The 13,856-nt window shown below is 38.5% G+C and overlaps 1 protein-coding gene and 1 long non-coding RNA gene across 4 annotated transcripts in view; one reads left to right on the forward strand and one right to left on the reverse strand.

Moving 5' to 3' along the window:
- SLC12A1 (solute carrier family 12 member 1) overlaps positions 1-13,856 on the forward strand; it is a 97,777-nt gene that overhangs the window by 12,093 nt on the left and 71,828 nt on the right. The window contains exons 3-7 of one of the 3 annotated variants that reach the window (NM_001384136.1): positions 2,240-2,371; positions 2,527-2,602; positions 7,458-7,553; positions 10,795-10,934; positions 11,999-12,109. In NM_001384136.1, the coding sequence (NP_001371065.1) occupies positions 2,240-2,371; positions 2,527-2,602; positions 7,458-7,553; positions 10,795-10,934; positions 11,999-12,109 (555 nt within the window). Of the gene's footprint in view, positions 1-2,239; positions 2,372-2,526; positions 2,603-7,457; positions 7,554-8,081; positions 8,178-8,684; positions 8,781-10,794; positions 10,935-11,998; positions 12,110-13,856 lie in introns of all 3 variants that reach the window. The other 2 variants (NM_000338.3, NM_001184832.2) reach the window with 2 other exon arrangements.
- Positions 8,776-12,038, reverse strand: LOC128966560 (uncharacterized). Its single transcript, XR_932204.4, has 3 exons — positions 11,953-12,038; positions 11,562-11,697; positions 8,776-9,199 (listed from the first exon to the last, which is right to left on the reverse strand). It is a non-coding gene; the product is annotated as an uncharacterized LOC128966560 (long non-coding RNA).

Genomic DNA, 13,856 nt, shown 5'->3' on the forward strand with positions numbered 1-13,856 from the left:
AAAGACAAGGAGAAGAACAGGCTAGAAGAAGAAGACAAGAAGTCAAAGTCACTTGGAGTATAGAGGCCAAATGAGGGCAGTTTACCATGGGTAAGCTATACCTTAGCCCAAAGAAGCAAGAGCCTTTGAGTATGGCAAGGGCAAGAGCTTCAATCATCCTAAAATGAAACTTTGATAATAAATATGGATGTTTATTTCACACCAGCTCCATTTTAGAGGAAGAAAAAATGGTTTTATCTAAGACTTCTTAACTAGTGATATCAGAACATATCATCCTAGGCTTAAACCAGTTTAGACCACTTAAATAAGATATAGTCATTCTATAATCGTGGTAATTGAGGGCTCAATCTCAGAGCCTTCCCCAGTGGTTTCAAAATCTTTCCTAGAAAAGAAAACTGTTTTCAGAGCTCAAAGAAGTACAGTCTACACAAAGGGCCTGGTAAAAGCCAGATAAGCTAAATTAAGTAAGTGCATCTGAAATTATTCAAACCCATATCTTAAAGAGAAATTATAGATAGAGAACTATTCTCAATTTGACAGAAAAAGAGCTGTTTCCTGCCCTCTTGAGCTCAGATACTATTGTAATGAGAATGGAAGTCTTTTTCAAAATGAGGCCACAGGAAAAAACCATATAAAAGTTTAAACCCTTATTTATACTACCAACTTCTTATTTCTACTCAACTAGTAATCAGTTATGAAACTTCTTATCTTCTATAAGATACTAGCATATTCAACAATTCTCAGGCAAAGGCATAACGGAATCTCAAAGAAACTTCTACAGGAATAACATTCTTGTCATCATCCAGTGCATTTAAACTTTTGTGGAATACTTTAAACTTTATTGTTTTGTTTTCTTAGAAAACTTGTCGGCCGGGTGTGGTGGCTCATGCCTGTAATCTCAGCACTTTGGGAGGCCAAGGTGGGCCTTCAGGTCAAGAGGGTCATGAGGTCAAGAGATCAGGACCATCCTGGCCAACAAGGTGAAGCCCCGTCTCTACTAAAAATACAAAAAGTACCTTGGCGTGGTGGTGCACCCCTGTAGTCCCAGCTACTCTAGAGGTTGAGGCAGGAGAATGACTTGAATCCAGGAGGTGGAGGTTGCAGTGAGCCGAGTTCATACCACTGCATTCCAGCCTGGGTGACAGAGCAAGACTCTGTCAAAGAGAAGGAAAGAAAGAAAGATGAAAAAAGAAAGATGAAAGAAAGAAAGAAAGAGAGAGAGAAGGAAAGAAAAAGAAAGAAAGAAAAAGTAAGGAAGAAAGAAGGAAAGAAAGAAAGACAGAAAACATGTCTATGTGTCTTTCATTGAATTCTCTTAAAGATCCTCTGAGGTGTGTAGAGAAGTTTTATCATCATGATTTTAAATGAATAAAATAGGACGGGCGCGGTGGCTCACACCTCTAATCCTAGCACTTTGGGAGGCCGAGGCAGGCGGATTGCCTGGGCTCAGGAGCTCGAGACCAGCCTGGGCAACATGGCAAAAGTCTGTCTCTACAAAAAATACAAAAAATTAGCTGGGTGTGGTGGTGCGCGCCTGTAATCCCAGCTACTAAAAATACAAAAAATTAGCTGAGTGTGGTGGTGTGTGCCTGTAATCCCAGCTACTCGGGAGGCTAAGGCACAAGAATTGCCTTAACCCGGGAGGCACAGGTTGCAGTGAGCCAAGATTGTGCCACTGCACTCCAGCCTGAGTGACACAGCAAGACTCTGCCTCAAAAAAAAAAAAAAAAAAAAAGGTAGATAGATAGATAGATAGATAGATAGATAGATAGATAGATAGATAGATAGATAAAATGAAGTACAGGGAGTTTCACCAAAAGAAGCACAGATCCTCTACTTAGCTCAGGAAGTTTCTCTTTTTGGTCGTAACATGACTTCCAAAGACCCTTATTTACTCTGGCTGTCCCTTCCTTGTAGCCCTTCTCTCTTTTGTTTCTCTTATGTGCTAAACTTATCCAAATCTGACTTTTCACCAGAAGAAATATTCTCACTAGTGGAAGAACATCTCAGGTTCCCTTCACCCAGCCCTAAAAAACACTTTAAAATGACTCACAAAATGAACCTTTCAGCTTCCAGGGCAAAAAATATAAGTTTCATTAAAATTCTCAGAATATATTTAGTTTGGGGGTTTTTTGGTATTTTAAGTTTTATTTCAATTGTTTTGATTTGCTTTGAAAAGTTTCATGGAACCCTTTGTTCATTGACCAACTACTGTGTTTTTGCTATCTATAAAATGCAGAATGTGGCAGTCACCCCAAGTTCAGCTGACAGAGTTGCTAACGGTGATGGGATACCTGGAGATGAACAAGCTGAAAATAAGGAAGATGATCAAGCTGGTGTTGTGAAGTTTGGATGGGTGAAAGGTGTGCTGGTGAGAAAGCTCTTCTGTTTACAAATGAAAACTATCCATTCAATGTTCTAGTGGATTAAGAGTGAACAAGGCCTGGGCACAGCTTTATGAAGAGCCCCGGGTTTTGTCCCACTATCGTTTGTCCTGTCTCCTTTCAATACCGCTTCTATCCACAGGTAAGATGCATGCTGAACATCTGGGGAGTCATGCTCTTCATTCGCCTCTCCTGGATTGTTGGAGAAGCTGGAATTGGTAAGCATTTTTCCCCTCCTAAATAATTTTGCATGTAAATCATAAATTCAATAAGCAATCTTTTTTCACCATTAATACTGAATGTGAGATGAAGGTCACAGAAATAATTTACAGTTGGGCTCCTTTTACTTTGCTTCTTTGACGATGTTTGTCAGAAAGCAAAGGTGAAGAGTTAACTCCTATGAAACTGGAATTTTCCAGCTTGCCAAACAGGTGAATGCTCAAGGAGATCTCTCTCTTTTGATAGAGTTTTAGGTACACAGACATATAATAGCATGTTAATTTTAGATAATAATATTTGTATTGGGGGACATATTGACATTTGCCTCTCATTTGTTACAGAGTATCCTTCTTGGCATGATTGGTAAAACTTCACTGAACAAAAATAACTTGTGAGAAAACTGGTGAAAATGTGACCTGACTAATAAAAATGCTGAATTGTTGAACTTTTTCCAAAGAAAATAATTGTGTTACTTTCGGGTACCAGCAGTAAGAAAACAAAGGTTAATCAAATATTGCCAGATACAAGCTTTAAGTGAAAGATGAAATGACTAAGATAATATGTGCATTACTGTTATTTTTTTCTAAATGAAAAATGGATAATAATGACATTATTTTGAGTGGTTGTTTAATGTTTTAAATATTACATTCTATTTTAAATATTATTTCTTCTAGCAAATCTTTTTTGTTGAAAGTATATTAGTAAAGTTTTTATGAAAAATCTAATTGAATTGTATTAAAGTTCCCCATTTAATGAGATAAAAATTAATAATGTTCTATTCCATATATGGGAAATACATTATGAATTCACTTTCCGGAGAAGACTTAGTCTCAGGAATATGGAAGTTCTATTGTGCTTTCAGATAGCACTCCAGAAGGTATCTCAATTCACATTTTAAAAGGTAGTTGGTCATTATTTATTGGCTTTGCTCTTCAAAACACATTCAGCATCACCGGAAGACTAACTCAAAAAAGAAAGGGCTAAGCTGTAAATTGAAAAAATGGAGCCAGTTCCCATAGTTTTTCCATGTTTCATGTTTGGCAACTGCTGGGTTCCTGACAGAGGGCTGCTTGCCGGTTTTATGATGCATAACAAATGAATGCTCACAGCCGCAGGGTCCAAAATAAGTATATGCCGTTCCATGGAAAATCTGCATCTTAATATTGCCAAGGTTTTGCTCCAGGGTTTCATGCAAAATTAGGTTTTTAAGGGTAGTTTTAGTAACTTATTGAGATCATCAAGAAACATTACTTTGTTTGGAGGTGTGAGAGTAGCCAAGGGCAAGAGTAATTCTTTTTAACGCAACTTATTTAACATCCATACGTTTGGGCAATAATCTGAACTTTAATCAGATCTTACATTACTCTTCACAGTCAACCCAGTATTGAGTTTCTTGCAAAACTGTAGAGAATGAAGAATCCTATCTTCTGCTAAACAGTTTATTATGCTATCATATTAAAATATTAAAATAAAATTAATATTATTTTAATAAAGATCTTTATATTGAAGTAGTTAAATTATATATTAGAAGAGAGTAAAATTCTACCTAGTAAGTGTTCAATGGATTTTCCTTTGAATGGAGGTTTGTGTTTTTCTTTTCGTTTCTTTTCTTTTTTTAATTCTCGGAAGACAGACTTTAGTGAGTACTAGAAACTTATTGTCAACCTTACTCAGTTTTACTGGCCTTTGCTATGAACCTAAAACTTAATGAGTTAAGTCACCATCTGGGTCCCATTTGGGTTTTCCTTATTGGGGAAGAAAAGAAACAAACACATCTATTTGTTCTTGCTTTGGGGGTAGATTGAGGAAGAAATCTGAATACATTTTCAAGCCCAGACCCTGGGAATAGAGCCAGAAGGAATCTGGAGCCAGGAGTAACAGTAGCTACAGCCCTTGGGTAACCATTCTGGGCTACGAGTTTTGGCTGTCTTGTTCCCAAAAGCAAAGGGCTGAATGAGCTGCTAATGCTGTCTAGTTGTTCTTCTCTATCTTGGAGACCTTGCTGGGGCAAGATGGTTTCCAATAAATTTAACCATCAAGCAAGGAAGTTAGGTGTGAAAGCCGGTATGACCTGAAGCAAGTCACTTACATTCGGTGTTTCCCTTTCTTTTCTAAATATTAAGGAGCAGGTTAATTCCTACCCAATGAATTCTTTGAAGATAAAGCTAAAGTACCTTTCTGAACAGGCAGACACAAGTTGAAATAGGCTGAGGGTAGCTTAGTTGTCTTACTGAGGGATGCATAAGAATTATCTGGGAAGTTAGGTTAGGAAACTGCAGAATCCTGGGATTTACTTTTAAAGATCCAAATTCAGTAGGTCTGAGCATTTTTAATAAGCACCCCAGGCATTTCCTGAAGCAGGTGGTTCAAGAACCACAATTTCAGAAAACAATGAACTGAATGTTCTCCAAGCTGCCTTCTACCCTGGGATTTTATGTTTGATTATGAGAGAGAAGCAAATCCCTTGCTGTTCAAAAGTATAAAACTTTGTTCCAAGATTTCAAATGGTTTGGAGAAATATATACAATGCAAAAGGATGAATTAAGAATTGTTGAAAAAACTAGAGTCAAAAGGAAAATAACAGTGAGGAAATAATAAGGTTGGAGTAGGTTTAGTGTTATGAAATGCAAATTATATGGTCCTGTAGAGTTTCTGGGGTATGCTAAACATTTTCTATCAAGCTTCTTCAAAACAAAGTCAGGAGCAAAACAAGTGCAGAATAAATCACCTTTAGTGGCACAAGGACCTGAAGCCACATAGTGATACAGAGGCACTGCTCACCACAGTATCCCTGCAATAGATATGAAGAATTTGGTCCAACTATTTTTTACAACCCCAAGCTTTTAAGAGTCTACAGGGTCTAAAGCAATATGGTCCAAGTTTGCAGCCTGTGCTTAGTTAGCTTCTTCCCACTCCACCTTAACCTGCAAAAAAGCCTAGAGGCTGCTGTTAGAGACAGGGTATGGCCAAGAGCTTCAAAAGAACCAGCCTTTAATACCTTGACTCATTCCCACTGCTGCCCTTAACCTCCTTCCACTTTCCCTTCTCCTTGAGCATGGCCAGAGAGATCACAGCCTCTCGTGGCTGACTACCCTTCTAACCATACTTGGAACGAGAGAGCCTGCCAACAACTATGGAGCATTCACTTTACATAGGGGAGCTTACCAAACAGCCCAGACCAGAGCATTCTGGATGGAGCCAGGGTGAGTTCAGTGGCTGTGACTCCACAGCCCTCTCCCTGAATTCTGGGTCGGCCTCCATTAGAGAGGGTATTGTAGGAGAGGAAAAACAGTTATCTTCTACCCATCTTAGGTTCATTGGCTGGGGGCCTATAAATTAGATTGACAAAAGTCAGATCAATAAGAGAAAAACAGAATTTATTAACATGTACATGGTACATACACATGGGACCACTCAGTGATGAGTGACTTAAAGGGTTGCTTAGAACATGGGCTTATATATCATCTTAACAACAGAACAATTAAATCGTAGAGAGGTGATAAGACAAAGGAAAAGGACTTTTCATTCATAGGGTGGCAAATGCTGCCAAGGTAAATATATAAGGAAAGGAATGGAAGATAAGAGCTTGTCAGCAAAGCTTGTTGTGTAGATGCCTGTGGTGCCTTTGTCAGGCTGATAAGCATCCAAAATTGTCTCTGGTAATCAGAGACATCACTTTCTGGTAGAGAGGGGAGGGAGGACAAATTTATGTCCCGTTTTTAGGTAAATAGGAAGGGATCGAGAGCTTTTCTTGTATCTACTTTTTTTCGGTTGTCTCAGCTCCAAATAATCCTTATGCCAGAGTGATATATTCTGATACCCTTTTGTAGACTCCTGGCTATGTGTTTCTTGAAGCTGAAAGCAGTCACGGCTTCGTTGAATTCTGGCCTCTACCACTTTCTCCCTCTCTTTATAATCATCAACCTTCTGAACCATAAAATCCTTGGGGCAGCTTTTTAAATTTCATTTTATTTGTGTCTTGTGTTTCTTACATTACCTGCCACATAGCTGGATATATAGTAGGTTTTTAAAAAGCAGTAAGTATTATAACTACTGTGAATATGATCAAAAAGCAATATCATTGAGTGTGTACTGTGTTCCATGTGCTATGCTAGCCATTTTACACATGCATTCTTTCTAATTTCATTGCTATTTTTGGCTCAGTTATTTATTTATTTGAGGTGACTTATCATAATAAGCAACTTTCCAGAATTCACACGGTCAACAAGTTAATGTAATTTAATTTCATTCTTTCCACTTTACCCATCTGCCAGATGAATAATTTGCTATACTGTATGTAGTTCTCCACCTCTATGTGACCAAATGTACATAAAAAGATAGTAACCTGGAAGGATGAACATTTAATCTCTAGTTATCTTGACAGCTTGGAATTGTAGGCCAATTATCATGTTTATAGGTGTCTATAACTTCTCCAAAGATGGAATTCTGTCAGGTGCAATAGTGCAAGCCTGTAGTCCCAGCTACTTGGGAGGCTGAGGTAGGAGGATGACTTGAGGCCAGGAGTTTGAGACCAGCCTGGAAAAAATAGCAAGACTGTCTCTAAAAATAATAATAATAATAAGATGGGGTGCACATTAAATTTTGACCAGCCCTAGTGGCTTTGTTTTGTACAACTTAGTTCTGCACATTTTAGCTCTTAAGTTTCTTGGAACCAGAGCTACTACAAGCAGAAAACTTCAAAGCTAAGCATTTACTCCATGGTGATTTCCTAGCCAACTTGTTAAACTCAAATGTGGTCCTTTGATGTTTACCCTAGACTTGCTGGTTTTTATGTAAATGATCCAATGAATTCTTCCACCATTTAATACCTTTATTTTTCCTCTTTCAACTGAGGTCTTGGTGTGATTATCATCGGCTTAGCCGTGACAGTGACTGGTATCACTGGTTTATCCACCTCTGCTATTGCCACAAATGGATGTGTCAGAGGAGGTAATTAAACTTGTGACCCGCACCATCATTTGTAAGGTAAAGGCAACACAGGCTCTAACAGTTCACCACTGACCTTTCTGGAGTGTTTTCAAAGGTAATGCAAGTTGGTTTCTTTTCCCCCATCAGGCAAAGAGATGCAAGAAAAATGGGGAAGGATTTAACCTTTGTCAAACCCCCAACTTTCTCATTCCAGTTCCTTCAAGCAAGAAAGAAGGTCAAATGTCATGTTTTCTCTTTTCACAGCCAGGATAGTTTCTCTCCCAGGACACCAGCATAAGTCAACTTTTCCTTTCCAAGTCTGCACTTTCGATTGTGTTTACTTTTGGAAACCATCCTTCATCATAATGAGCAGTTCTCTGACTTGGTCTTTATGCCAGGCAAACCAGTTTCTCCTTAGCACAAAGAAACCCCGTTGGAGCCCGAGGCATGGACCTGAAAACTTAAGTTAAAGGCAGTGTAGTTTGCAGCAATAGGGAATCCAAGGAAGAAAAGTAAAATGCAATATCTTCTATCTTTCATTGCTAACAGGTCTTGGAGTTCTCATAATTCTTCTTTCCACCATGGTAACTTCTATTACTGGGTTGTCAACTTCTGCGATAGCAACTAACGGGTTTGTTCGTGGAGGTAAAATCTCTAAGATATCTAATGCCCTCATCACTTGCTACGGGTAGGCGAACAATTTTTTATACTTCTTTTTGATGGGAACAAGGAAGTAGCCCGATGTTCTTGAAGCCTGGCTATTTGGAGGAGCTGGATGCCAAAGAAAACCTAAGGTACGATGAGAATAGTCCAGGTCTACTCTGGTCTCTTTTCTAATGGATCTCTCTGGCACATTGTAGGTTATGCCTTACAGATGTGCACCTTCCTTAGGTAAACTTTTTCTTTTTCAGGCTAGTCTGCACACCTCTAGCTGATGTTCCTTGGAAACTGATTCCAGATTTGGCTTCTGTTTTAACGTTTAGTACATTTCAGGTGCTTCCTAGACCTTCATGAAATGGGATCTTTTAGAACATTTCAGGTTTTCACAGGGAGGTGGATCTTTCTGTGACAAGATTCAGACTGCTGCCTCCTGAAGTACTGGTGACTTCTCTCAGTACTGGAACCAAACACCTTTCTTGGGGGATTTTGCAGGTCTTGGAGTCATCATCATTGGCCTAAGTGTGGTAGTAACGACACTCACAGGTATTTCTATGTCTGCTATTTGCACGAATGGAGTAGTAAGAGGAGGTAAGCCAATTAATTTACTTATGACTAGAGGCTTGGTTACTAGTAATGTCTGGAGTTAATTTACTATTGGAAGTGAAAGTAACATATTGCTAATTAGTCCCCAGTGTCCTAAACAAAATAACCCAAAATTTAAACAGCAAAGCAAAATTTTTCTCAACTAAAATTGGAATATCTTCATTGACATGACCCATTTCTTGTAACAAAACATGTTTATAAAGTGGAGAGTGACTATGTGTCTAGTAAGAAGGTATGGAATATTATAGCAAAATATATGGTTTCTTTGTACCTTGGATGAGACCCACTGGCTCTCTCGCAGGTCCTCTCAGCATGGGTCTTCTCCAATGCCCCAGATGGCATTGCTGATGATTGCCACTCAGTAAACCACTCCTGCACCCAGGCCTCGGGGCTCACCCCAAACGCTGTGCTCCCAATGACCAACAGGCAAGGGAAGATCATTAGAAGGGAATAAACAAATAAATAAGCAAAGAGTTACTTTCAAATAATCTAGGAGTAGGCAGGCCTAGGCAGAAAGTGAAATGGATGAAATGTATTGTTGTTCTGTCTTCCTTTGTTCCCCCTCCCCTTCCCCTTTGGTTTCTCTGGTTCTCTACTTCGGCACCTTATCCAGGTCTTCCTACTCAGGGCCTTCTAAAACATCCTGCCCACAACACACTTCCACTCTCAACTTCTGCCTGTCTCTCATGTTGATCCAGCCCACCTAGGTAACTGACTAGCTCATTTGTTTAAGGTGATCTGTATAAAGGAAATAATGGGGATTTGCTCCACCCAGACAATATGCTACATTTTTAGACAGGACTTTGACCCCTGAGCCCAAAAGAGTTACTATAGTGAAAGAAATTTCTCTCAGCAAAAAGTAATTTTGTTTTGTCTTTAGGTATGTTGGTTTGTCATTGCTGTGCCAACTCTGCCTACCTCCAAAGCCAGCTCTGTATAGGAAGTCATAATCTTACTATGGTCTGTGATAATCAGACCTCCTAACATCTAGTGCTTTTCACCTTCAATAAGCTGCCCTAGGTACCCTTTTGGCATTTGACCAATCTAGTTCAATCCTTCATATGCACAGAAGTATGCAACTATATATAATTAATAGAACTATTTTTTCAATGTCCAAGGGAGAAGTAATTGTTCCAGACCCTCCCCACTTTTCTTCCCACTTGCAACTCCCAAACACTGTGCTCTCAGTGGCCAACAGGCAAGGGACCTACTTGTCACACCCATACATATATGGGTATTTAGGAATAATCGTGCCTTCTTGAGCTAAAAACATAGAAAACCAAGTTTGATTTATCGAATGAATAATACATCATACTCTATAGATATCTTGTTTTATGCAGCACATATATATCAGAAAATTTTACGTATGTACCTATATATGTTTTGTATATATATGTTTATATATATATATCATGCCTTCTTTCACTAAAAACATAGAAAAGCAAGTTTGATTTAAAGAATGGATAATACAGATATCTTATTTTATGCAGCACATATATATTAGGAAATTGTATATATGTACATATATCTATATATGTGTAAATATATATTTTACATATATACACAACAGAAAGGAAGTTAGAAAAACAAAGATAAACTTCAACTACTTCATTTTCTACCTAGACTTTCCTACTCCTGGAAATTTTTTATATAAAATTTTACTTCAGTTGCATTATTAATTTGAATACTCCAATGATATTTTTATAAAGACAACGCATTTTTTGTAAATTTTGCTGTGTTCTTTTTTGTAGCTTTTTTACATTTATGTTTTAATAGAGTGGGCTTTATTAAGTCAGGATACTTCTATTGTAGATTAAGTACAGAGTACCAAGAAGGGCTAAGTTATTCACTGGGTAACACAGGATTCCTAAAATTACTGGGAAGTTGTAATACTGTTATTGAAATAATTCACACTGTAAATGTTCTCAGATAGTCACAATCGTTTGGTTATATAAACTAGCAGTTCCTCAATGTGAAGTATGTTCATTTCTTGTTTCAGGTGGGGCCTACTATCTTATTTCCAGAAGTTTAGGGCCCGAGTTCGGTGGGTCAATAGGCCTGATCTTTGCTTTTGCTAATGCAGTGGCTGTTGCTATGTATGTGGTGGGATTTGCTGAGACTGTAGTAGATCTTCTTAAGGTAATTAAAAGCTTTTCTTTTTTTCTGCCAAGCAGCATAATTTAGTTTAGTTTGCCTTCTCAGGGCACTAAGGGATATCATTACAGCTAAATGAGAGGAAAAAAGTTAAATATAGTGGAAGGAGCCTGGGCTTGGCATCAGAAGATCTGGCTTTGAGTCCAGGTTCTCGCACTTACCAGCCAAGAAAGTTTGGATTAGTTCCTCTATTCTTCCGAACTTTGTTTTCCAAATCTATAATATGGGCTAATAATACTGTTATATGTATTTCACAGAAGTGTGGCACAGATCAAATGAAATAATGTACACAAAATATTGTGTAAAATATGCAACATCAGATAAATAATGGATATTGCTGTCAACAGTAGTACTATGATTATGGTTATAGATTTCTAAAAGGAAAGAAAGTTTAAAAATTAAAATAATTCACTCCAGAAAACTAGCCATTTCCTAGTTTAGGTGCCTAGTCTAGGATGTCGCATGTGCAAGCACATTCATTAGCTGATATATCAACTAATTTCTAGTCCTTTTCTCATAGTAATGATAGCATTCACTGAATTCAATTGGTAAAAGTACTTCTATTTAAAAATTAGATAAATAAATGAGCTTACAGTTCACAAGGTATATTACCTTCAAGAGATGCATTATCAGGTTTGTGTCATCTGGTCTTACATAGGACACCACTTAACTTTCAGGATTTACATTGTAAACCATCCGTTTTTATTCTGCTAGGATTCCCCTTGACACACAGAAATAACTAGTCATTCTTCTGAAATAAAACACAATATGTATATGTATACATATTTTCACTTAATACTACAACAACTTCAAAAGCTAGAATGAATCTCTAAAATGTCTAACTCCTAACCTTGACTATCAAAGGCCTATTATCACAGAAAAAAATGCTAGGTTTTTTATCTTCATAAATGTATGAATACTCCATTTTTCTATTATCCTATATGGCCCCAGGTGTAATTGTATAGTATCTCTTTTTACTGTTAAATGCTGCAATAAGACTCACATGCAAAAAGCTGTATCTCTAAGCACTTAATAATTTGTTTCCCCAGGAGAGTGATTCGATGATGGTGGATCCAACCAATGACATCCGGATTATAGGCTCCATCACAGTGGTGATTCTTCTAGGAATTTCAGTAGCTGGAATGGAATGGGAGGCAAAGGTAAATTTCTCAAAAATGATATTATCAACAGTGGCTGGTCAGGTCCTGAACAAATTGCAGGAGTAGAGGGAACTCCATATTCAAAAGGAATTGCTGTTATTACCTGCTATGGTGAAATGAGCAGGCAAGTGCTAGGTGGAACACCAAGCCTGCAAAGCACGAAGCCCAGGCAGTCATGATTCAGGGCTCACGAGTCACATGACTGCCGTATTTTGTCTCTCTGTGCTGTCACCAAGGCGGCTGCCTTATGCACAGACCCCTTATGATCATAGCAGTGGTGCACGCTGGAAGCCTGGGTCTCTCAATCACAAACCCTGGTTCCTCTTTCAAGCTGCCTGTGGGTGCAAAAGCCCAAGAGAAATGGCAAGTGTGTTGAGAACATAAGAGAGGCAAAAACTATCATTCTCATCTGAAAGCCAGTACTTCACCAGCAAATTTAGGCACATCATAGGCTTTAGAACCAGAAAATCTCTGAGTTTAACTAGTGATAAAATGGATAGTAAATTTCCGAATGATGGGAAACATGTCTTTTGCCTCCTTTGTAATTCCCTCAAGTGACTGGTGCAATTGAAAATATTCCTACGAGCCTGTGGATGAAGTAACTAGATCTCAAGCAGTCATGAGATGTGGAAAGACAGCCAAAGCCTCCCACCTATAAGTCAATAGAAAACATTCCTACATGGCATTTATTTGTAGATTATGCATTCACACATTCAACAAAAATTAAGTTAGTGCCTACCACATGTTGAGCATTCTTCTAGGCACTGATATTCACCTGTGACCAAAACAGGCCTAATCCCTATATATGGTCTATGAAGAGATCAATAATAAGCAAGCAAATAAAGAAATAAATATAAAAAGAGAATTTGTGAAAATTAGTATCAACAGGACACTGTGATGAAAAAACACAGAACCCTACTTTAGATAACTTTATTCCCTGAGTGAGGCAATGAAGTTTAGTTAGCAGTAGAGGGTAGCATTTAAAGCTCCAGCTCTGTAGTTAGAGTGCCTGAATTTGAATCCAGCTTATATCTCTGCAGCCTTTAGTAAATTATTTAACCTCTCGGTGCTTCAGTGTCTTTACCTTTAAAATGAGGATAATAATATTGCCTACTCCATAAGGTTGTCAGTTTGTTGGTGGTATTATTTACCTAAAAGAATGCAGGGAAAGTAAATCTGCAACTGCTCTATTGTAAGCCCTCAGTGAACAGATAGCTGTTATTATTTAAATGGGCCAGGCACGGTGGCACATACCTGTAATCCCAGCACTTTGGGAGGCTGAGGCGGGCAGATCACGAGGTCAGGAGTTCGAGGCCAGCCTGGCCAACATGGTCAAACCCTGTCTCTATTAAAAATATAAAATTAGCCAGGGTGGCGTATGCCTGTAATCCCAGCTACTCAGGAGGCTGAGGCAGGAGAATTGCTTGAACCCAGGAGGTGGAGGTTGCAGTGAGCCGAGATCGTGCCATTGCATTCCAGCCTGGGCGACAGAGTGAGACTCCATCTTGGGAAAACAAAATAAAATAAAAAAACATAAAAGATTAAATTTTCAAGAAAGGCCCTCTGAGGAGGTAACTAAGACTTAAAGGATGAAAAGAAGGAAATAGCTATGCAAGAAGTAGAGTGAAGTGCTTTCCAGGTAAAGGAAACAGCATATGGCAACACCAAGCCATAAACACCTTGCAGCATTGGAGGGGCTGAAGGAAGACCATCTGACCAGTCAACTTTGCAGACTGCTTGTGCTGAG

This window comes from Homo sapiens, chromosome 15 (genome assembly GCF_000001405.40).
Source record: "Homo sapiens chromosome 15, GRCh38.p14 Primary Assembly".
NCBI classification, from domain to species: domain Eukaryota; kingdom Metazoa; phylum Chordata; class Mammalia; order Primates; family Hominidae; genus Homo; species Homo sapiens.